We start from the raw sequence: 23,001 nt of genomic DNA, 5'->3' as shown, positions 1-23,001 counted from the left end.
TTGTCCACATTTCTCTGATTTTGTTCTTTCTCATCAAATTGTGTCTGGATTTCCTCATTTAGAACTTCACATTCTATTTTCAGCATCTTACAAGTCTGCAACATTTCGTCTTGTCCTTTTATGTCATAATTTAGATCTATGCTATACCTTGTTCTGAGAATTATTGCATATAATTTCCACTGTATATAATAAAATAAGACTATTCTATGTAATTATCATTATTTATAACGCTTAAATGTCTGTCATATAGGTGCATGATAAATATGAATGCTGAACAAAGGAATTCAATAAAGAAAATGAAACTTCCAGTTAATCATTCACAAACATTTCTGGAGTGTTTACTATGTGTAAAATATATATTAATGCTTAGAATACAAAAATATATACCACTGATTCAGCTTTTCGAGAACACAAATTTATTAGAAGGGACATATAACCTATAACTATGGCTTTAAATATGTTCAAAATCACATGGAGGCTGTAGAGATTAAGTCTGCTGCGATTGGGGAGTGGGAGCAGTGAAAACCTTTCATTGGATGTGCAACCGTTGAACTGTCTTGACAAATCAGGAAGAGGTTCCTAGACAGAAGATGGAGAATGTGAAGCTAATGTCATGTTCATAAAGGGTGGATTTTTTGAAAATGGTTATAATGTTGGGAGATAAGAAGGATGTAAATTTGCTAGTTGATGTTTTTAGACTTTTTAAAAATTATACACCAGTTACAAATTTCAGCTATGCCTAACGTTAAATGACGAGTTAATGGGTGCAGCACACCAACATGGCACATGTATACATATGTAACAAACCTGCACATTGTGCACATGTACCCTAAAACTTAAAGTATAATGAAAAAAAGACTGTGATTATTAGATTTGTTTCTTAGAAATATAACTTTGGCTGGAGTAAACTAGTTTTTATTAGAGTAAACTTTGGGGCTGTAAGGAGAATCTGTACTTTGCAACTATCCAGGCTGGTCAGGAGAGTGTTGAAATATTATAGAAATGTGAATGGACATGGAAAACAACTAGTTTGAAGGTGAAATTGACAGGAACTCGTGCCCTGTTGAGTACGAACATGGAGGACAAGAGATACATTTTCACTAATTTAAATAGTGAGATTATAATATTTAGGATAGACGTACTGGATCTGGAAGAAATTGTCGTATCAGTTTCAGATTTTACGAAATAAGAAAAAAATACATACAGAATGATGAAAGAGATGGATGTTTGCTTGAATGCCATGTCTTTAGTTTATATCCATGTTAAATTAAGAGAAATGCATTTAAGAGGAAATAGCGTATAGGCATTCATATTAAAATAAAATGTAAAATATTCAGGAGATATCTGTATGAAAGATGTGTCTTTATTAGGAAACCATTCTAGGTATCCCTCTCAAAGTGCATGGGTCTTTTGGCTTTATATAATTTCCACTCTTTGACATTGTATCTTATTGTCATGGTTTAATTGACATACATTTTCGGCACTGGCCCTCATTCTTTTGTTCACTGTGATATCCACAACGCCTTGAACAGTGTCTGCAACAATCACAGGACAAGCTGTGGATGCCACTGAATCGATGGACGCATGAACAAATTATTTCTTTATAGACTTGTATTTGGTTGAATGAATTCTTGTGATTTTGAATGCACATTAGTAAAGAGTCAAATAATGTCTGTTGATGGAAAAGCAGTACACCTAAGGCAGCATAATGTTGTGAAAGAATTATGGACTAGGAAGTGAGGATGCTCATGTCTAATTTTCAATTTATACCATCTGAGTCTGAGCTTCTTCATCTGAATATGACAATAAAATGGGCCACTTTATAGAGTTGTTGGAAGTGTTACAAAATAACATATAAAGCAAGTTGCACAGTACATTTTACTCATAATTTTTATTTATGTAGCTTAGCTAAATGGCTTGTCTATATATGGCATGAATGGACAGAGACTAGCTTGGCCTTTTTATAAAAAATTATACTTCGACTCAAAAATGAAGCAGTGTATTTATGTTAAATAATTTGATTAAACAAATCAGAGAGACTGTCTTTCAGTATCATTTTTGTTTTTCTTTGGTATTAATAAAAATCACATATTTTTGTACATTTTTGGAAGTAAAAGGAAGCCATCGAACTGAAACAAGAATGTATCAGGAATACTTAAAATACATTTGCTAATCAAAGTAAAACAGTGTGTAAGTATGCAAAACTAGTAACTGATTTCCAGTAAGTTATGAGAAGACATAAAGCGAATTTGGGTAAAAATACTCAGCTCTAGAAAATGGTGCATTTAAGTAAAGAAAGGATAATAGCATTTGAAAAAAAATATTAAACACAGTTTGTTCTTATCGTACATCTTCTTTCTATTCACAAGGGAAAATAATAAGATTGATTGCAATCAAGATTGTCTTGTGAGACTGAAAAAGAGAAAAGGAGTTCTGATACTGATGTACATTCATATTTTGATATGTGGAAATTATTTTATTTTTGTTTTATAGATTTACTTACGATTCTTGGACTATGAGATGCAGAATTCAAATGAGTGCAAGAGGAATTTTGTGGCTGTGTATGATGGAAGCAGTTCCGTGGAGGATTTGAAAGCTAAGTTCTGTAGCACTGTGGCTAATGATGTCATGCTACGCACGGGTCTTGGGGTGATCCGCATGTGGGCAGATGAGGGCAGTCGAAACAGCCGATTTCAGATGCTCTTCACATCCTTTCAAGAACGTAAGATTCTCTGCACTTGACTATTTTTCCTTCGTATATGCCATATGATGCCAGTTTCATAAGCTGTTAATGGTGTTTTCTTCACACAGTGAGCACAGCAGGCTATTCTCTAATATGTTGTTTAAACCACTAAGGTCCTCTTTTTCTCATTTTGATCCATGACAGGAAAGAGTTACATATTACATTTTGCTTTCTTATTTCAACATATGCACCATAGCCTTTCTTAAGACAGTTCACACTATTCAACTGGGAAATGATGAATTTCATCTGTCTTCAATTTAGCTCTTAGGAAGCCTGTGGAACTGATGCAGCAGCTTCTGATGAAGTTTGGGTTTAAATCTTTAAAAACCTGCATAAAAATATTTGGTAGGTTCTTTTTAGTAAGCTTCTTTTGCAGTCCCATTTATTTCAAATAGGTTTCTGACTTCAGAGTTCCAATTAAAGTAGGTAAGGAGAGAGAATTGCTTGGGTAGATTGTAAATGAGAAAAGTTTCAGAAAATGTTTAAAACAGCACAATGGGTGATATCCAGAGTCAAGGGCAAATCACAGAAACTTCAGAAAGTTATGTTCTAATAAATAATGATTCATACCAATAGATATATTCTGAATATTTGTTAGAAACCCTGAATATTTCATGTGTTACAAATTTATGCAAGTGAAAAAGGATTCTGAGAAATTTAAGAAATAAGTACCTTGTGACATGAACAGACACTGAAAAGAAGAACAGACACTTCATGTGGCCAACAAGCATATACAAATGTTCAGCATCATTAATTATTAGAGAAATCCAAGTCAAAACCACAGTGAGATACCATCTCATACCAGTCAGAATAGCTGTTATTTTATTTATGTATTTATTATTATTTTTTTTTGAGATGGAGTTTTGCTCTTGTTGCCCAGGCTGGAGTGCGACGGTGCGATCTCAGCTCACAGCAACCTTTGCCTCCCGGGTTCAAGTGATTCTCCTGCCTCGGCCTCCTGAGTAGCTGGGATTACAGGCATGCACCACCATGCACAGCTAATTTTGTATTATTAGTAGAGATGGGGTTTCTCCATGTTGGTCAGGCTGGTCTCAAACTCCTGACCTCAGGTGATCGGCCTGCCTCGGCCTCCCAAAGTGCTGGGATTAGAGGCATGAGCCACTGTGCCTGGCCTCAGAATAGCTGTTATTAAAAGTCAAACAATAACAGATGCTGGTGACGTTGTGGGAAAAAAGGGAACACTTACGCACTGCTGGTGGGAATGTAAACTAGTTCAGCCACTGTGGAAAGCAGTTTGGCAAAACAGATCTACCATTTGACCCAACAATCCCAATACTGAGTATAAATCGTTCTGTCATAAAGACACATGCATGTGTGTGTTCATCACAGCACTGTCCCCAAACTGTTCCCATAGTAAAGGCATGGAATCAAATGAGATGCCTTTCCATGTTAGACTGCATAAAGAAAATGTGGTACATATATATTGTGGAATACTATGTAGCCATAAAAAAGAATGATACCATGTACTTTGCAGCAACATGGATGGAGCTGGAGGCCATTATCCTTAGAAGTCTAATATAGTAACAGAAAATCAAATACCGCACGTTCTCACCAATAAGTGAGAGCTAAACACTGAGTCCATATGGACAGAAAGAAGGGAACAACAGACTCCAGAACCTACTTGAGGGTGGAGGTTGGGAAAAGGGTGAGGACCATAGTACCCCTGTTGGGTACTATGCTTATTATATGGGTGATGAAATAATTTGTACACCAAACTCCCGTGACACACATTTTACCTACATAGTAAACCTGCACATGTACCCCGAATCTGAAACAAAAGTTAAAAACAACTTTAAATGAAAAGAAATAAGCACCTTGTATTTCACAACTATGCATTTTTGTATTCTTAGAAAAGACAATACAATATTTTTGAAATTTCAGTGATTTCTCTTATTGTCAGCAGCAGAGGAGCCAATACTGTTTTAAATTCGTAAATGTTAAGTGTGTTAGACAGTTATTTTGCATAACGAATAAATCGTTTGGGCTTTAAATTCCCTTTTAATTACCCAGTTGGGGAATTTTATGACACAGAAATACTGAATGTCACTCAGTCTTTCTAAGTCTTGACACCATCATCTAGCATGTCAAACATCTCTCCCAGCTTTATGTCAGATTAAAACAGTATGCTGTTATGTATTTGGTTCAGTAGTTGATTAAAATGTTAGAGGTAGTGCATTTTTATCTCAGCAAAATACTTGAGGAAAATTTTTTCATTTTATTGACAAGCATATGAGACTCAGGCTACAAGACAACACCCTTGGTGGCTCACTGCTGATTGATCTACCCAATTCAATGAATCATTCCTTCAGTGAGGGAATTTCAGGGTTCTATATTTATTCAGTATTCTTATCTGTCTTCGGGAATAACATACCAAGAACTCGTATTTAATTTAAATGATAAAAATTTGGAAGGGCAAGCTAATATATTAAATGATACAGTCCAGATTTTAATAAATAACAAAAATCTGTAATTTTTAATCAAAAGTATACCATAAAATATAATAGAGACATATGATAAAAGCATTATATTTCAAAAATCAATAACATAGAGGAACCCTGATGCCTAGGACGGTCCTGTGGTCTTATTTCATTCAAACTCAATGTGAGTCAATACTTTGATTATGACTGATAAAAATAATCTTAAACAACATTAGCCTGTATTAAAGTTAGTGGAGTAACAATGCAAAAAAAGATTTTAGTTTTATAGGAAGCTGCACCAATCAAAATGCAAAAGGCACAGTCTGTTCTTTCCTGACTCTTATTAGTGAGGAGAGTAACCACCTAGAAGAGGCTGACAAAGATGTAATGCCAAATAAGAAGAAATGTTTACTTTAGGATTTATTGTTGTTCAAAATGTGATAACTACCTCACACCTATGTCTCATGGGTCTCAAAGGTAATATTTATGTTTGAAAGTTATAGGGAAACTTTTGAGCGCAATTTAGGGGGAAAAATGTTCATCTTGTGAGTTGTGATATTCAAAATTTGAAAGAATGCCTATGAAGGATATAAAATATGGATAGATGGGTGATTGGATCTGAAAATGGATTATTATCTGGCATGAACGGTATAGAGGAATCATCTGTGTAGGTTAGGTGAAAAGACCGGCTAACATCAAAGATCCCTTTCAATCGGAAAATAGATTAAGCTCTATGAGTCTTTAAAAATCTGCATAGATAAGAAATGGTGAACTGTATATATGTTGCATATATTATTATAAATATGTCTATTTGAGACTACAAAAAAATAGAGTTTCAAGGCATGTGATTAAATTATCTCTAGAAGTCATTGAAGTGGGTTGACTTTTCAATGAGTAATCCAAAAGACACAGGGTGTTCTTCCTACAGAGGCACCCATCCCAATATGTTCTTTCACAGTGGACAAATAATCACTCTCTTCAAATGATGAGTTTTACAACAGCGTTCTCTGTGATCATCTCATAAATTTACAGGAAGTTTCCACGGAAACAGGTTTATCCTTTAGTCATGTTACCACCCATGTTGGTCTGAATGGTTCTGTGGCGCCCCTTCAAAAATTCCTGTGTTCAAAATCCAGTTGCCAAGGTGAGGGGATAAGGAGGTGAGGCATTTGAGAGGTGATTAGCTCATAAGTACAGCTCTCATCATAGGTGTTGGTCCTCTAATGATAAAGAGGGCCCAGAGAGCAGCCTTGCCCTTTCCACCAGGTGAGAACACAGCTAGAACGTTTCATCCGTGAACCAGGAGATGGGCCCTAAACAGACACCAAATCTGCCAGCACCTTGATCTCGGACTTCCTAACATCCAGAACCGTGGGAAACAAAACCCTGTTTTTTATAAGCCACCTAATTTATTGTAGTTTGCTGTAGTAACCCAAACAGACTCAGACGATGCCTGTGTATATTTGTCATAATGTTTTACTTTTTATTGCATTGGCTAAAATTATGCAGAATTCTACCATTATTTATACCTAAGATCAAAGTCATCCTATGATGACGTACATGGGTCTAGACTGTCTTTATTCATTGAAGTGAAAGTATTCCACGTAAGAGATGAAAACTTCAAAACAATAGAAAGTGGGCTTCGATCAGTGCTACTACTTGGAAATGGGTGGGTAGGAATCATTCTAAGGGTACTTAAGAGGAAGCAAAGATACTTTGTTTAGGGAGTTTCAAGTTCCTCAGTGGTATTGCTTTATTCAATATTAGTGGCTGAGGGAGAATTTTGGCTTACATTTTTGTTGTGGCTGATGATTTTGGTTCTTGTAGAGGGTGATAGTTAAACAGACTATTCATATATTTTTTATATATGGCTAATATATACAATTACATTAATGTATATTAGTGTATATATAATCTAATATATAATTATACATTTAATATGTAACTATATGTCTAATATATAATTATACACATCCAATATGTGCCTTATAGATGTATATATAGTTATATGTATTATCTAACATTTACTCCATTCATACACCCATGAAGTAAAAGTTGGAGATATAAAATCAGTGATCAGCTTTCGTCTTATTCAAGTAATAAGAAAGTACCTGGATATTTTTCCTGGTGCCTACACATTTATGAAATAGTATCCCCAGTTCAGTGGTGAAGTGCTTCGAGCGCGCTGGTGCCTGAATGTTATGTCCCTTCAAAACTAAGAGGTTGGAATTTTTAATGTTGTTTACAAGCCATCTAGTCTATGGTATTTTGTTCTAGCAGCCCAAGTGGACATACATAGAAAATTTATGCTGATCTGTGGGGATGTTGCTCTAACAAATACCTCAAAATAGGTGGCAGTGGCTTTGGAACTGGGTAATGAGTAGAGGCTGGAGGAGTTCTGAGGTGCTAGAAAACATTTACGTTGCCATGAACAAGACCATTAAGGCTGATCCTGGTCTGGGCTCAGAAGGGGAGGAGGAGAATCTTGTTAGATAATTCCTAAGTTATTCTGAACAGAATGCTTATAGAAATATAAATAGTAAGGTCGTTTTGATGAGCTTTCAAATGGGAATGAGGAATATGTTTTTAGACAATGGAGGAAAGTTCATCCTTGTTATAAATTGGCAAAGAATATGGCAGAATTGTGTTTATGCTCTCGTGTTTTGTGGAAGGTATTGCTTGTGAGGGATGAAATTGGATATTTTGCTGAGAAAATGTCCGGGCAAAGTGTTGAAAGAACGTTTGACTCCTGACTGCCTGTCATAAAATTCAAGAAGAAAGAAAAGATTTAGAGATGCAATTATTAATAAAAATGGAAGCAAAAATTAAAGATTTGGAAAATTCTCAGCCTATTCATATTGTAAAGAATGAGAAAACATGCTTACAAGAAAACACCAAAGGTGTAGCCAGGCAGGCATCTGATAAAATAAGTGTGGATTGGCCAACTCGGTGGAAATCAGGACCTATTGCTGAAGTCAGTGGAAGGATGACACTGAAGGTATGTCAGAGATCACTGCGCCTGCCTCTCATCTCAGCTCCAGAGGGCCAGTGTTTAGGGGGACAGAATGAGTTGAAGGAGAAAAACCACTGTCCACCACTACCTCGTATCTCAAACTGTTAACCCGGCACTTTCTGGCAGTAGTCTTCCTCACTGCACCAAGTGGAGGGTGCACATTTTGATCAGCAAAGCTGTGGGGGCATGGCTGCCTTCACCTATGTTTCAAAGGATGCTTGGAACCCGGACAGAGAGTATTTGCAAGGGGGCGCACTGCAGAGAGCCCCCACTAACAATGGCAAACCGAATCATGGGGTGGGGCCACCCCAGGTCAAGACCTTTAGAGACAGGGATATGTGACTTCAACCTACGAAGGCTGTGGCTGTTCCCAGAAAAGCAGTTGGGTAGACCTCTACCCCAGTGTGTTTAAAGGATAGAACACGAAGATAAAATTCTTATTTATTTGTTTGTTTGTTTATTTGAGATGGAGTCTCGTTCTGTCCCCCAGGCTGGAGTGCAGTGGCGCAATCTCAGCTCACTGCGAGCTCCGCCTCCCGGGTTCACGCCATTCTCCTGCCTCAGCCTCTGAAGTAGCTGGGACTACAGGCACCCGCCACCACGCCCTGCTAATTTTTTTTGTATTTTTTAGTGGAGACGGGGTTTCAACGTGTTAGCCAGGACGGTCTTGGTCTCCTGACCTCGTGATCCAACCCCTCGGCATCCCAAAGTGCTGGGATTACAGGCATGAGCCACCGCGCCCGGCCTTTTTTGTTTTTTTTTTGTTGTTGTTTTGTTTTTTTTTTTCAGATGGAGTTTCGCTCTTCTTGCCCAGGCTGGAGTGCAGTGGTGCGATCTCAGCTCCCTGCAACCTCCCCCCTCCCGGGTTCAAGCTATTCTCCTGCCTCAGCCTCCCAAGTAGCTGAGATTTCAGGCATACACCACTACACCAGGCTAATTTTTTTGTATTTAGTAGAGACTGGGTTTCACCATGTTGGTCAGGCTGGTTGCTTACTCTGGACCTCAGGTGATCCACATGCCTCGGCCTCCCAGTGTGCTGGGATTACAGGCATGAGCCACTGTGCCTGGCCAAGAAAATGATTCTTGAGCCTCAAGGTTTTGGGCTTGCTGGGGACCTGCTGCTTCTTTCTTATGTCTCCCTGTTGGACTGGGCATGACTGTCCTATGCCTGTCCCATCGTTTATTTTGTAAGGTTCATAACATTTTCATTCACAGATTTACAGCGTAAGAACGATTTGCCTCAGAATGTATAAGGAGCCTCACTCATACCTGCTTTAGATGAGATTTTGGACTTAGAGTTTTAAATTGACACTGAAACAAGTTAAGACTTTTAGGGCTATTGGGATAAAATGAATATATTTTGTGTGTGAGAAGGTCAAGGATTTGGGGGAAGAAGTTAGCGTTAGGGTTAGTCTGAAGGGTTATGTCACCTCAAAATATATATGGTGAGATCTGCACCTACCGAAGGTGATGATGTTAGGAGTTTAGACCTTTGGGAAATGATTACATTATGGAGCAGAGCCCTCATAAGTGAGATGAGTGCCCTTATGAAAGAGGCCCAAGAGAAACCCTTCACCTCTTCTGCCATGTGAGAGTTCAAGATAGTTTTCCATGAGGAAGCAAACCCTCACCAGACTCCACATCTGATGGTGCCTTAATCATGAACTTCCCAGTCTCCAAAACAGTGAGAAGTAAATTTCTGTTGGTCATAAGCTGCTCCCTTTATGGCATTTTTAGAGCAGCGCAAATGGACTAAGAGCATGCCATGGTTTGGTTTCTTTGTCTCCACCAATACTCCTGTTGAAATTTGATCCCCAGTGTGGTAGTATTGAGAGGGGTAACCTTGTGGGATGTATTTAGGTGATGGGGACAAATACCTAACGGCTTGATGTTGTTCTGGTAATGAGTGAGTTCTCACTCTCAAAAGACTGAATTTATCTGCTCAGGAATGGATTAGTTTCTACGATATGGGTTATGATAGAGCCAGGACGTCCCTCAGGTTTTTCAGCTCCTGTTTGCACATAGCCACTTCCCCTTGGAAACTCTCCACTGTGTTGCAACAAAGCATGAGATCCCTCGCCCAAAGCCAGGGCCATGCCCTTGAACTTCTCAGCCTGTAGAACTCTGAGCTACATACGTCTTTTTTTATTTTTTGTTTTTTTGGGAAATAAACTACCCCAGTATGCCTTTATAGCAACAGAAATTGAAACAAGACAGAGCATATTTGATAATATCCTAATATCTCTAAAAATTGCTTGTGATAGGACCATAGGATATTTTTAGGGGTTAGAAGAGAGTTTAGAGAGCGTCTATTTCAATTTTTCACATTTTCTGAATTCAAACAGAAAAAAAAAGGGTTCATTGAAGTTAATTGACTTTCCCCACACATACTTAACCCCATGCTTAATGATTTGTTAACAGAACTGAGGCAAGAATTAAAGACCTGACTCCTAATCCATGATTTCTCTTGTGAATATCTTTACTACTTTTGAGGCACTTCTGAGACAGAGCTCGAATGCTCTAAAGAGGATGATGATGATAATGATTATGAAAATAGATAACAGTTATTCTCATATGTCAGCATTGTTTTGAGTGATTACAGACTGAATTTTGATTCTTCTGTCCTATCCACTGCATTTTATGCCTACATACTGTGCTTTCACACCATAATCATATAGCATGCCACGTTCACATGGCTCTCAAGTATTAAGACAAAAGTACACTATAACGAGAGGTTTCTATTCTGAAACATGCTATTTTGGGGACTATATGAATGCATTTTTAGCCATCATATTTTTACATTTGTATCTGAATAAATTATAGGAAAAGGAAATAATGAGTGTATAAAGGAGGTATGAAGTTCTTACTAAAAAATTCAGCAGACGTTTAACTTGCAAGTGCACATTAGAAGCATTTTATAAAGCTTGTGTTAAATGCCAATATTTCTAACAAAATTTATCTAATGCCAGTAAAGGGGAGAGCATAAGGGCACTGAAAAGGGTAAGTATTTACTTGCTACTAGGCTTGAGAAGTACCACCTCTGCAGCTTGCTCCCATAGGTATAATACTGCTGCCTCGACCGACTTTGCTAACTCTTCACCTCTGCCTCTTTCAGTGTTGTCAAAGATTGCTGCCCTGATTTATGGCATCACAAGGCTGTTGGTTGCCCAGCTAAACTTCATTTTTTTGCTTCAGAAAAATAATATACAGACTTCATCCTATAAAGCAATTTTGAAACCCAGGGACAAGACAAAGAAAATCAATATTATCACCTAAAGAGAACTCTCTTCTTGACTAGATGGTAGGCTTAGTAATAAGCTAAATGGCACTTTGCATTTGAATCACACAAAATGTTTAGTCTACAATTTACCCGGTGGAGAAGAGCACATGCATGAGTAATCCAAAAAAGAAGACAAAACATTTAAGTATTATCTTTAGCATATATTCTTTAAGAAAGAGTATTTGTTTAACATTTAAATGTATTTTGAGGCTAACAGTAAAAACAATTAATTAATCAGTAATTAATTTAGTTTCATAGATGAAGAAGCCACAAATACCAAGAAACATATTTGCGATAAAGAATTCATCCAATTTGAGATATGCCATACATTGGATAATTCTTACATTGATTATTAGAAGTGTGCCGTATTTTACTTTATGGACTCAATTTAAGATTTCTTATATTATTATAGCTTTATACTTTGGCATCTTTTTTGAAAATTTATTGACTCTAAAGAATTACTAATTTTAAAGGAATGATTATATTTAGAATAATTTTAATTTTGAATACACATAGATAATTCATAACCAATTATGATAGGACTGTGTATTTGAATAACTGCCCAATATGAATAAACAGAGACCTTCGTGGAATATGCCCATTCAAATAAATCACCTGCTAAGTTTTCTGAGCCAATCTTATTCTTTGTTTAGAATATGAATTTGCAGTAACTGGAATGGATGAATGAGTTATAACTAGTTTTGATTTCTGAAGTTCTGCATTTAGCTGCTCTTCTGCTCTTCTTTACAACTTTTGCACCATAAAATATGAATCACTTAATATTTGATTGATGAATAGCATATTTCTGTTAAAAACAGACATATAAAATAGAAGAGGAAAAAACAAATTGTCCACATTATGGTCGTATGGAATTTATTTACAATAATTTGCTAAAATGAGATAATGCATTTAGTTTTATGTTAACTCGTGACAAAAGACTATCAAGTCTTTTGTCTATATTATTATAAATAAATAATTAGATTTATTTGTAATAAAGAAATATACATACAGTAACATTTAAGTTCCAAAAACTGAGTTGAAATACTCTGTGGAAGGCAGATTCTGAGATGAACCAAGACATTCTCACCTTGTATTAGTTTGTTCTCACGCTGCTAGGAAGAAATACTCAAGACTGGGTAATTTATCAAGAAAAGAGGTTAAATTGACTCACAGCTACACATAGCTGGAGAGGCCTCAGAAAACTCACAATCATGGCGGAAGGCACCTCTTCACAGGGCAGCAGGAGAGAGAATGCATGCCAGTAGAATAATTGTGAGACGCCTATAAAACCATCAGATCTCCTGAGAACTCACTCACTATCGTGAGAACAGGATGGGGGAAACTGACCCCATGATTCATTTACCTCCACCTGTTCCTGCGCTTGACACCTGGGGATTATTACAATTCAAAGTGGGATTTGGGTAGGGACACAGAGCCATACAATATCACAACTCTTGGTGTAGAACGCTTATGTAATCCCCTCCTCTTGAGACAGTCAGAACTTGTGAATAGCCTGGGATATCATTTGGTTATTAACTTACATTCTTTCTCTGTGAAAACTTATTTTGCAGATGTATATAAAGGCTCTTAAAGCTTGATTGACTTTGATTTAATCAAAAGAAGGGGGATTATCTTGGGTTGACCTGACCTAATCAGGTGAGCTCTCTAAAATTGAAGAACTTGAGAGAAAAATGCCCAAGCTTCCTTGGACAGGTGGTTAGTAGAAATCTGGATTTGGAGAACTACAGGTGATGACTCAGATGCAAGTGAGGAGGAATATGTTATTAGGAACTGGGAGAGGGGGGAATCCCTGTTTTGTAATAGCAGAAAGCCTAGCACAATTGTGTTCTGCAGGTAGGTGGGAAACAGAATTAGTAAGTTACTAATATAGGCTAAATATAGGCTATGTAGCTAAGTAAATTACTGAGCTAAATGTTATAGGTGTAGGCTAATTTCCTCAGCAGAAATACTGTGAACTTGGACAGGAAGAGACAGAGTACCAGAAATACTGGAATGCCAGAATTCTCACAGCATGATCAATCTGATGAAACTGATATATATATATATATATATATATATATATATATATATATATATATAGAGAGAGAGAGAGAGAGAGAGAGAGAGAGAGAACTATATAGAGATCTGTATATATATATATATATAGATATATATAGAGAGATGTGTGTGTGTACATGATACACACACGTGTATATCATATATATATGCCACCTTCCATGAGAAAGAAAGGCTGTCTCAGAGAACAGAACCAAGGGCAACAGAGTAGTCAAGAAGAATTTGAGTTTACCCTGATGGACTTCAGAACTGTTATGAATTCATTACTCCTGTTTATTCTCCATTCTTCCTTTTTTGGACTAGAATTCTATGCCTCTCCCACCACTGTGTTGGGAATGTTGGAGCCAGACAGCTTGTCTCTAGTTTCATGAACCCATACACGGAGAGAAACTGTACCCCCAGGGTCTGCACCAGATTTAGATGATTCAAACAAGGAGACTCTGGACTTTGAACCGATGAGACTTAGATGAGATTTGAACTTTATGTCATGGGGTCATGGGGTTATACTCTTGGGATCTTTATAATCACAGTCCCCAATCAGTTCACTTTGAGTTAAACAGGAAACTATCCTAGTGGGTCTGAGCCAGCTAAATAAAGATCTAATGGTTAGAGATGAAAGAAATCAGAGATTTTTAACTGTAGTGAACACTCCACCTGGCCATAAAGAAGCAGCCTGCCATATTATACAGAGAACTACGTGGTGGGGAATTTTGAGCAATCTTTAGAAGCTGAGAATGTCCTCAGGTTGCCAGTCAGCATGAAAGTGGGGACCTCAGTTCTACTATTCCAGCATACTGAAACATTCCAACAACTTGAACAAACTTAGAAGAGGCCTCCACATTTTTCATGAGAACCCAATCCAGACAGACTCTTGATTTTAGCCTTCAGAGACCCAAAGGAAAGAACCCAATTGAGCCCTGCCTGGACTTCTGACATACAGAACTGTGAGATCATAAAAAGATATTGTTTTAAGCTGGTGGGTAAATTTGTGATAATTTGTGACTCAGCAGTAGAAAATAATGCATAGTATTCCTATTGCAATGATGTGGGTTTTTTCAATGTAATGGATGATCCAAATATCAATTTTAACATATTACTTAAAAACATTTTTAATATATTGCTATTTATTAATATAGTACTAGTCCTACTTTCGGTAGTTCAGGAGATGGGGCAAGATATACTGTAATTGTAGGAAACAATCACTCCAGCATCAGATTGACACTAAAAGTTGAGATTCCACTAGCCTAATCATTAATAACTTTTCATTTTGATACATATTTATATTCCTCCTTTCATTCTTTTATTCCTTCATTAAACTTTCCAGGCATGGATGGCTCGAAGATGAATATGATGGTTGCTTCTCTGAAGGCACCGCACTTCCACACTAACTCAGATTCAACTCAAGTGTGTGACTCACTTCAGATGTTCATTTATATCTGGTATTCTGTGCCACACTCCCACCACATACTCCCTCATTTATTTTAGTAAATTACCCACGGAAGGTTGTACTCTAAGAAGCCTAATTCTCTTTGTGTGTAGTTTTTCTCTGCAGCGTTTGTTTACGTTAGCTGGATATTTGCTCTACTGACACAGTGATTGATTTTATTTCACTGTTCAGTTTTATTATCTTTTCCTGTCTAGAACAAGATATAGCCTGCCATCTGCCTTTTGTTCACATAATTTTCATTCTGTCTTGGATAATGCAAATTCTTAATTTTGTAATAACTAAGTAAAATTGTCATATAATCTCAGTAACTAAATTTAATGGATCCTAAGGGAAAAAATTATAAATTATAACTCAATAACCCTCTGAGATTAAACACCAAAATATCTTCAAAATAATCAACTTACTTTAATCCTTTTTAACTTCTTTCAGATTTAAATGGGATGAGTTTAAATAACTTTGTTAGTTATGGAAAAATAAATTAACACATTTTCCAATTTAGAGTTATTTTAAAGAATCAAAGAGAAGAGGGAGTTAAAAATGTAAATCCTCTCTCTTAATATTTCACAACACTGTTTAGTTTTTCCTCTAGAATAAGCAAGGCCAAACACAATTTACAAGTTTGGTGTAAATACTAAGATCAAAAGACATTCTATTCACTATATATTTCACCACGAAAAGAAAATGTTATGTACTGGAGAAAGCAGTGTTACCAACCGTAACTTAGGCCAAAGTGTAAATTGAAGTCTTACTATAAATCTTAATGCCGCCACCTTGTGAATTGCCATGATTGATGTATCTTAAAAGGATTAAGACCACTTTACTAATATAGGAAATATTTATTTATGTATGTCATATAGTAGCATAAATACCAGATGGTGCAGATTTAAATATAAACAATACACAACATATGCTGAGAAAATTGCTGAATGTGTGTTAAATATTGGCAGGTCTTCCTAAAATATACATAAAGCACACTATTGATAAGAAAAAAATCACCATATTCAAATATACATACATTTCAAATAGTTATTAATACAGAAACATCATAATCAAAATAAATATGGAAAAGTTGACCTGGAGAATAATTGGTAAGACAACAGCAGGCAACAGGTACATATTTGTATCTTATAAAAAATAATGATTATATTCAAAAATAAGAAAAAGATAAGCATTCTAATAGAAAATGGGGCCAAAATGTGCATAATTAATTCATAAGAGAAGCATAAATACCCTGTAAGCATAAGAAGCAAACATGTAAACATATTAGTAAACAAATACATAAATTTATAATTTAATGAGTCATTTTCATCTATCAAAATGTTAAAAATATGAAATAATGTTGGAGATGGAATCTTGAAATAAAAGCATATGCACTGCTTATAGGAAACAAAATATTTCCTGAAGGACAATTTAGCAGTATATATAAAAATTCCAAAATAGGGAACAAAGATAGAATATCACCTCTGAATCAGAAATACTACCTCTAGGAATATATACTGCTGATGAGTCCATATTTATAAGCATGGAAAAATGCTTAAGTAGATTGGTTAAATGGTTCTGGGAATGTACATATACTCTTTATTAAGATGATGTGGTAGATTGATACTGATATTTTACTGTGTTAAGAAACAAGAGGTTAGAAGCAAGTAGCGAACACGTGTACATTACATTTATACTCTTGTAACTACATGGGATAAACATTTAATACATGTCATCTATTATATATGTAATACATATATGTAAAAGACAATGGGATGAAGATATTAATGGTTATATTTGGGTGACGATATTTTTGCCTGTATTTTCTAATTTTTCTAAAATAAATATGTACTGGTTTGGTAAACACTTTTTTACAAAGCAACAAATAGGAATTTCTGAAAAGATGTATTAAGTCTAGGAAAGCAAGAGTATGTACATTATTTTCTATGTTGGGTTAATTGACTCATCTATAATATCAGAAAAGAACCCATCAGTAGAGTTTTAATACAGTTTTCGAGGATATCACATTGCCATATACTGACATGTTGTTTTCAGACTAAATAATAACTCTGCTCTGTAATAGAATTTCTCCACCATTTATCTTCCGAGAGACATTCAACTGATGACTGACTTACTGCATGACAGATCCTGACGGTAAGCCCACCAGATACAGTATTGGCCTTTCTCTCCCCTTGATATGAGTGCGTACACCCTTGAATTCACTTTGGTAACTTAAAGACAGATAATAATTAGAAAAAAAATGTAGCCTTGGATTCATTCCAGGACTAATTATGACACGAGTTGTCAGGGTATCCTGGCTGGAAACTGCCACTCTCCATCAGCAGTCTCATCTTAACTTTTCTCATCACTGCCCTCTCCTGTCCCTGCTTGCCGCGCTGTACAGCGACGGCCACTTTGGCAGAAGGCTGGTTAGTCAAAGTCAGATTGCCTGAGAAATCTGCTACTTGGCATTTAGTTTCCCATTGCTGCTGTAGCAAATTAGCATATGTTTAGAAGCATCAGATAACACAACTTTATTATCTTACACTTCTGGAGTGCGGATTCCTAAAACAGGTTTTACTGGGCTGAGACCAGGGTGTCAGCAAGGCTGCTGCCCCATAAGAGGCTCCAGTGTAGAGTACATTTCCTTCCTTTTCCCGTTTCTAGAGCAGTATTTCTTGGCTCATAGCCCTTCTACTTTGTCAGAGCCACCAGAGTAGCATCTTTGTGTGCCTTTGTGATTTGCTGTTACATCACCTCTGTGCCTTCAGTCTCCATCTCTCTTTACTTGTTATTGCATTGGGCTTAACTGGATAATCCCGAATAATTCTTCATTTTGAAATCTTTATTCACACCTGCGAAATCCCTTTTTCCATATAAAGTAACATTCACAGGATGTGGGACTAAGATGTGGACAACTTGGAGAGCCATTATTTATTTGACCACAGTAGAATTTGTATTTCTGTGTTGTTTTTGCTTGTTTGTATTAAGCTGATGGGGTCTTTGACTGAAATTCTGAAAGCAATTATTAAGTTGACTTTAAGGCCAAAGGTATACAATGTCAACTGATAAAGATACATCTTAACACAAGTCTGCCTTCACACCTTGCTATTGAATAAGTGTTCTTTTATATAAAGAATTTATTTTTAATTTAAATATTTTATTACTGTAGAAAAAAATAAAAAAGTTAATCTGTCCTAAAGATTTAAATATGACTTTGGGCAAGTATAGATGTGTTTGAAATTTTAAAATAAAAGATAAACGTTTTTAGAACCAGAATCACAAAGTAGCCATTTCAGAAAATTGTTTTGCTTTTGAAAAAGATCTGAAATGGAATTACAATGTGTAAGAGCACATGTTCAGTGTCAGCCAGTTCTTCCACTTTCTTACGTGTGATGCCTGGACTTTAATCTTCAATTTCCTTTCTGTAAAACAGAGAAAACATCACAGGGCAACTGAAAGTTTTAAATGTATGTCTGGAACGTAGCAAATGGTCAGCAGAAGGTGGCTAGTATTGTATCCGTTAGTGAGATAACAACATACTGAAACTTGGGTAGTTAACACTTTCAAATACAGTGAGGCTATTGAGCAAAGGAAAATGAAATAAAATTGTATAATCTACCAGAAGCCAACCAACCCTCCTTTCCTCCCTCATTTCTTTCCTTCCTTCCTTCCTTCCTCTTACCTCCCTTCCTTCCTGTTTTTTTTAAAGCTTTTGATTGAGTTTGATGGCACCATAAAGAAAACAACTGTCAAAAGTATTCTAATATTTGAAATGAATTATCGATGGACTTTTATTACTGATATGGTTACTTAAACCATTGAAGAAGTATTATGTGTACAGACATGTAGTTTGATGAAATACTTAAAATTTAAAGTTAATTTTCTTAAGTAATTTGACCAAAACAAGTATCTTAAGTAATTTTGCTTCTTTGCCTATTCATTGAGTTACTGAGAAAATATTGCAGAACTTTCCATCGAACCATTTAGAATAATTTTTTTAAATAAAGTGTGTGGGTCTGCAAGGAATCACTTGGACAAGAATAAAGGCAGGAAATTTCCTGTAATTTTTAGTAGAATCATTGGGAATAATACATATTAATGTGTCTGATTCTAGCTTTACAACCATTGTGGTTTATGTCTGCCCCTGAAAATACACAGCATATGTTTGTTATATGGAAACAGAAAATTATTATTTTTAATTGATAGCCTCTGAACTAGCAGATTTTTAAGCTTGAGGTCATGGTGATGTGTTTACGCTTGGCTCTAATCTTCATTTACTGCAGGCCCCCTTTGTGGGACTTGGCATGTTCAATGAGAGCAAGTATTGCACCTTTATAAAAGAATAATGTGTCTAAACTAGCCACCTGCTACTGACATGTACATATTATGAAAACCAACACTGGCCCACATGTCCAGGGCCTAATAGTAATCAGCATGCAGATGCCAAAGATATTTAATACCCTCCTTATTGTAATTGTAATGTCTAACTACACACATTGAAGAGATCATTGTGGGGCTGAATCAAGGCAGACATAATGGAAGTATAAAAGTATGTAGTAATTTCTAGGGAAGATAAAATAATGGATACATTATGATAATAACGGATAAATTCACCCCACATACAAGGAAAGATTTTTTATATATGGAATGTAAGTTTCCAATGAAGATGTGTTTCTTAATGTAATATCTCTCAGAACAGTAAGAATATGTAATTTTTGCACAAAGATTGGGGAGGAATCTCATAAATATGTGTGAGATCAAATTGAAATTTGTGAACAGAATTTCTTGTATAAAAACAGATTAATATATGTACATCTTGATAATACTGGATATTTTCAAAGTAAAAGTCATATTGGAACAGAGTTTTGAAAACATATTGATTTTTCAAAACAACTATGAAGGTGATAAAGGACATGAAAAAAAGATACACAAATCTATTTCTGGCCTCAAGTCTGGTCACCATTTTTCAAATAAAATGTCATTTCCTCTAATTACATAGCCTATGGGCCATTTTAAGTTTCAATGTGCTGACAAGGGAAATTTTTCCATTTGTTTTGGAAAAAAATTGTTTTGTGGGAAGTTCTGATGGCCAAATATATTTTATATATTTTTTATATTTTTGTTTGTGTAGAGTACCACAATTAAAAATGATAGTAGCAAGCTACACACACACACACACACACACACACACACACACACATATTTTTTTTTTTCTGAGACTGAGTCTCACTCTGTCACCCAGGCTGAAGGGCAGTGGCACAATCTCGACTCACTGCAACCTCCACCTCCTGGGTTCAAACGATTCTCCCCGCTCAGCCTCCTGAGTAGAGGGATTACAGACATGCACCACCACACCAGTCTACTTTTTGTATTTTTAGTAGAGATGAGTTCTCACCATGTTGACCGAGCTGGTCTTGAACTCCTGACCTCAAATGACCCACCCACCTCGGCCTCCCGAAGTGCTGATATTACAGATGTTAGCCACTGTGCCCAGCCAAGCTATGTATTTTTAATGACATTTTTGAAGTTTTTAAAAATTTGCATCTTCAGTTGATTACTCATAATTGATATCTCTAATGTTTTATTTTCTTTCAAGTTTATTTTTTAAAGTTTTGCTGTTATTTAAAAATTTAAGATCATTGTCAGACATTAATGAGAAGATGGCATTTAATATTCATTGTGTTGCTTAAATAATTTTTATTCTGGCCTGGCACTGTGGCTCACGCCTGTAACCTCAGCACTTTGGGAGGCCAAGGTGGGTGGATCATGAGGCCAGAAGTTCAAGACCATCCTGGCCAAGATGATGAAACCCCATCTCTACGGAAAATACAAAAATTAGCCAGGCACAGTGACAGGTGCCTGTAATCCCAGCTACTCGGGAGGCTGAGACACGAGAATTGCTTGAACCTGGGCAGCAGAAGTTGCAGTGAGCTGAGATCATGCCACTTCACTCCAGCCTGGACAACAGAGTGAGACTTCATCTCCAATTAAAAAAAAAAAGAATTTTTATTGTGATATATAGTCTGTCACCAAGTATTTATGAAGCATCTACAAAGTGGTACATCTGGTTGCCAGACTTTTTAAGAGGAAGCAACAAGGCACAGATAAGTTAACTCAAAGGGATCAGCCCAAGCCCTAGTATGTATTGTGGGAAAACCAACATGGGTGATGTGGTGGGAAGGATGAGGGCAGGATGACCTGGTGGTTATGGTGGGTGACATCTGAGGTTAGGAAGAATTCTATAAATGTTTAGGGTGAGCAGAGGCTGTGAGAATATAAATCACTTGCTGTGTACTAAGGGGTACAAGGAGTTTGGAAATTAACCTAACATTATTGGAAAGTGTTTTGGGGTGTCTTCAACAAAGTGAAATGTGGCCTGATTTATACTTTCAGATGGCCAAGGTCCCCATGGTTTCTGTGTCCCTGAACTCCATGTAAGATTGCTGTCAGTGAATGGTGGCCTGGCTCATTCACAGCAGTGGAGACCTCAACAAGAGCTTTGTATTGAGATAGAGCCATGCAAGAGATGGCCACTGGCTCAACGGTATCCGGGGAAGAAAGGACCCAAGGATGGTCTTGAGCCTTTCGCCTGAACACCTGAGGGGATGGTTGTGCCCTTTGTTAATGCCAGGAAGGTGTGGGAGGTGAGAATTAAAAAGGAAAATGTGGATAAGAGGAAGAGGGTGATAATCATTTTGCTTAGGCCCATCAGCCATATTCTGTTTGCGATGGTAATTACAGTTCCAAATGGAGACGTTAAGTAGGAATTTCAATATTCAGGGTAAGTCTGGATCTCACACAGTAGTCAGAGCTGGGGATGTAAGCCCCCTCGTTAGTGGGGGCTCTGTGTCTGATGAAAATTGCCGAGAGAGAGGACAGAGGAAATAAGGGACCTGTGACAGCCTCAGGGGGCTCAGCTACAGGGGTCTGTAAGACACTAGCATAGCGGCCTGAGAAGGCAGGGGGAAAATCACCTTAGTTACCTGAACTGATAAACATTAGTAATAAATAAAAGTAAGTATGCTAGATTTTGCTCTTCAATGTGAATTCATGACCTAACTATAGAATGTTGATATGTGTCATATTTACATATTCATGTAAGTGTTAAGCTTTGCTTCCATCCCTCACCAAACAGAGTAATAGATTCTAGACCATCCCAAGGGTTAGAAGTTTTAATTTAAAAAAGTAAGCTTTAGTAAATATTCAAGGCTGATAAAAGTTGAACCCAAGAAATAAAGCAAGAAGATGTAAATGTACTCTGATATGGTTTGGCTCTGTGTCGCCACCCAAATTTCACCTTGAATTTTAACAATCCCCACGTGTCAAGGGCTGGACCAGGTGGAAATAATTGAATCATAGAGACAGTTTCCTCCCATGCTGTTCTCATGATAGTGAGTTCTCATGAGAACTGATGGTTTTATAAGGGGTTTCCCCCTTCGCTGATTGTCACTTCTCTCTCCTGCCACCATGTAAGAAGTGCCTGTTTTGCCTTCCAACATGAAGACACTGTAAGTTTCCTGAGGTCTCCCTAGTCATGTGGAACTGTGAGTCAATTAAACCTCTTTTCTTTATAAATTAGCTAGTCTTGGGTATTTCTTCACAGCAGCCTGACAACGGACTAATACATACTCCAAGCTGTTTCCTCCCCCAGCTGCTTTTCCATACGTGTTTGTGAGCATTTCCATTCAAATTAAAGATCAGGGAATGATGAAGAATTAATAAAGAGCAGAAGTAGGAGACCTAGAGGTGTGACTGTGGCTGTGTGGTGTGTGTATGACTGTGTTTGAATGTGTGAGTGTGTGTGTGAATGGTGTGTGTGTTTGTGAGTGTGTGTGTGGTGTATGAGTTTGTGTGACTCTGTGTGTGAGACAGCCTGTGGCTGTGCCCACACAGGCCAGCACAGAGCTGGGTGTTTTAGACGAAGCTCAAAATTAAAGAAGTTAAAATAATTTGAGGAAAGCAAGAAGCAAGAATGTCTGAAGAGAACAAGATGAGTGGACTGGGGAGGGGAGGTGAAGAGAG

At 36.8% G+C, this 23,001-nt stretch overlaps 1 protein-coding gene across 10 annotated transcripts in view; it reads left to right on the top strand.

Moving 5' to 3' along the window:
- The window catches only part of NETO1 (neuropilin and tolloid like 1), a 125,674-nt gene that overhangs the window by 81,588 nt on the left and 21,085 nt on the right, over positions 1–23,001 (top strand). For all 10 annotated transcript variants that reach the window (NR_148694.2, NR_148695.2, NM_001201465.3 and 7 more), the window contains one exon: positions 2,494–2,722. Coding sequence is in view for 8 of the 10 variants with exons in the window: in NM_001201465.3 (NP_001188394.2) it covers positions 2,494–2,722 (229 nt within the window). In the remaining 2 variants the exon portion in view is untranslated. The remainder of the gene's footprint in view (positions 1–2,493; positions 2,723–23,001) is intronic.

The sequence above is a fragment of the Homo sapiens genome, chromosome 18 (genome assembly GCF_000001405.40).
Source record: "Homo sapiens chromosome 18, GRCh38.p14 Primary Assembly".
Lineage (NCBI taxonomy): Eukaryota > Metazoa > Chordata > Mammalia > Primates > Hominidae > Homo > Homo sapiens.
The sequence above is the reverse complement of the archived record's forward strand: the minus strand, read 5'-3'. Positions and strand labels throughout refer to the sequence as shown.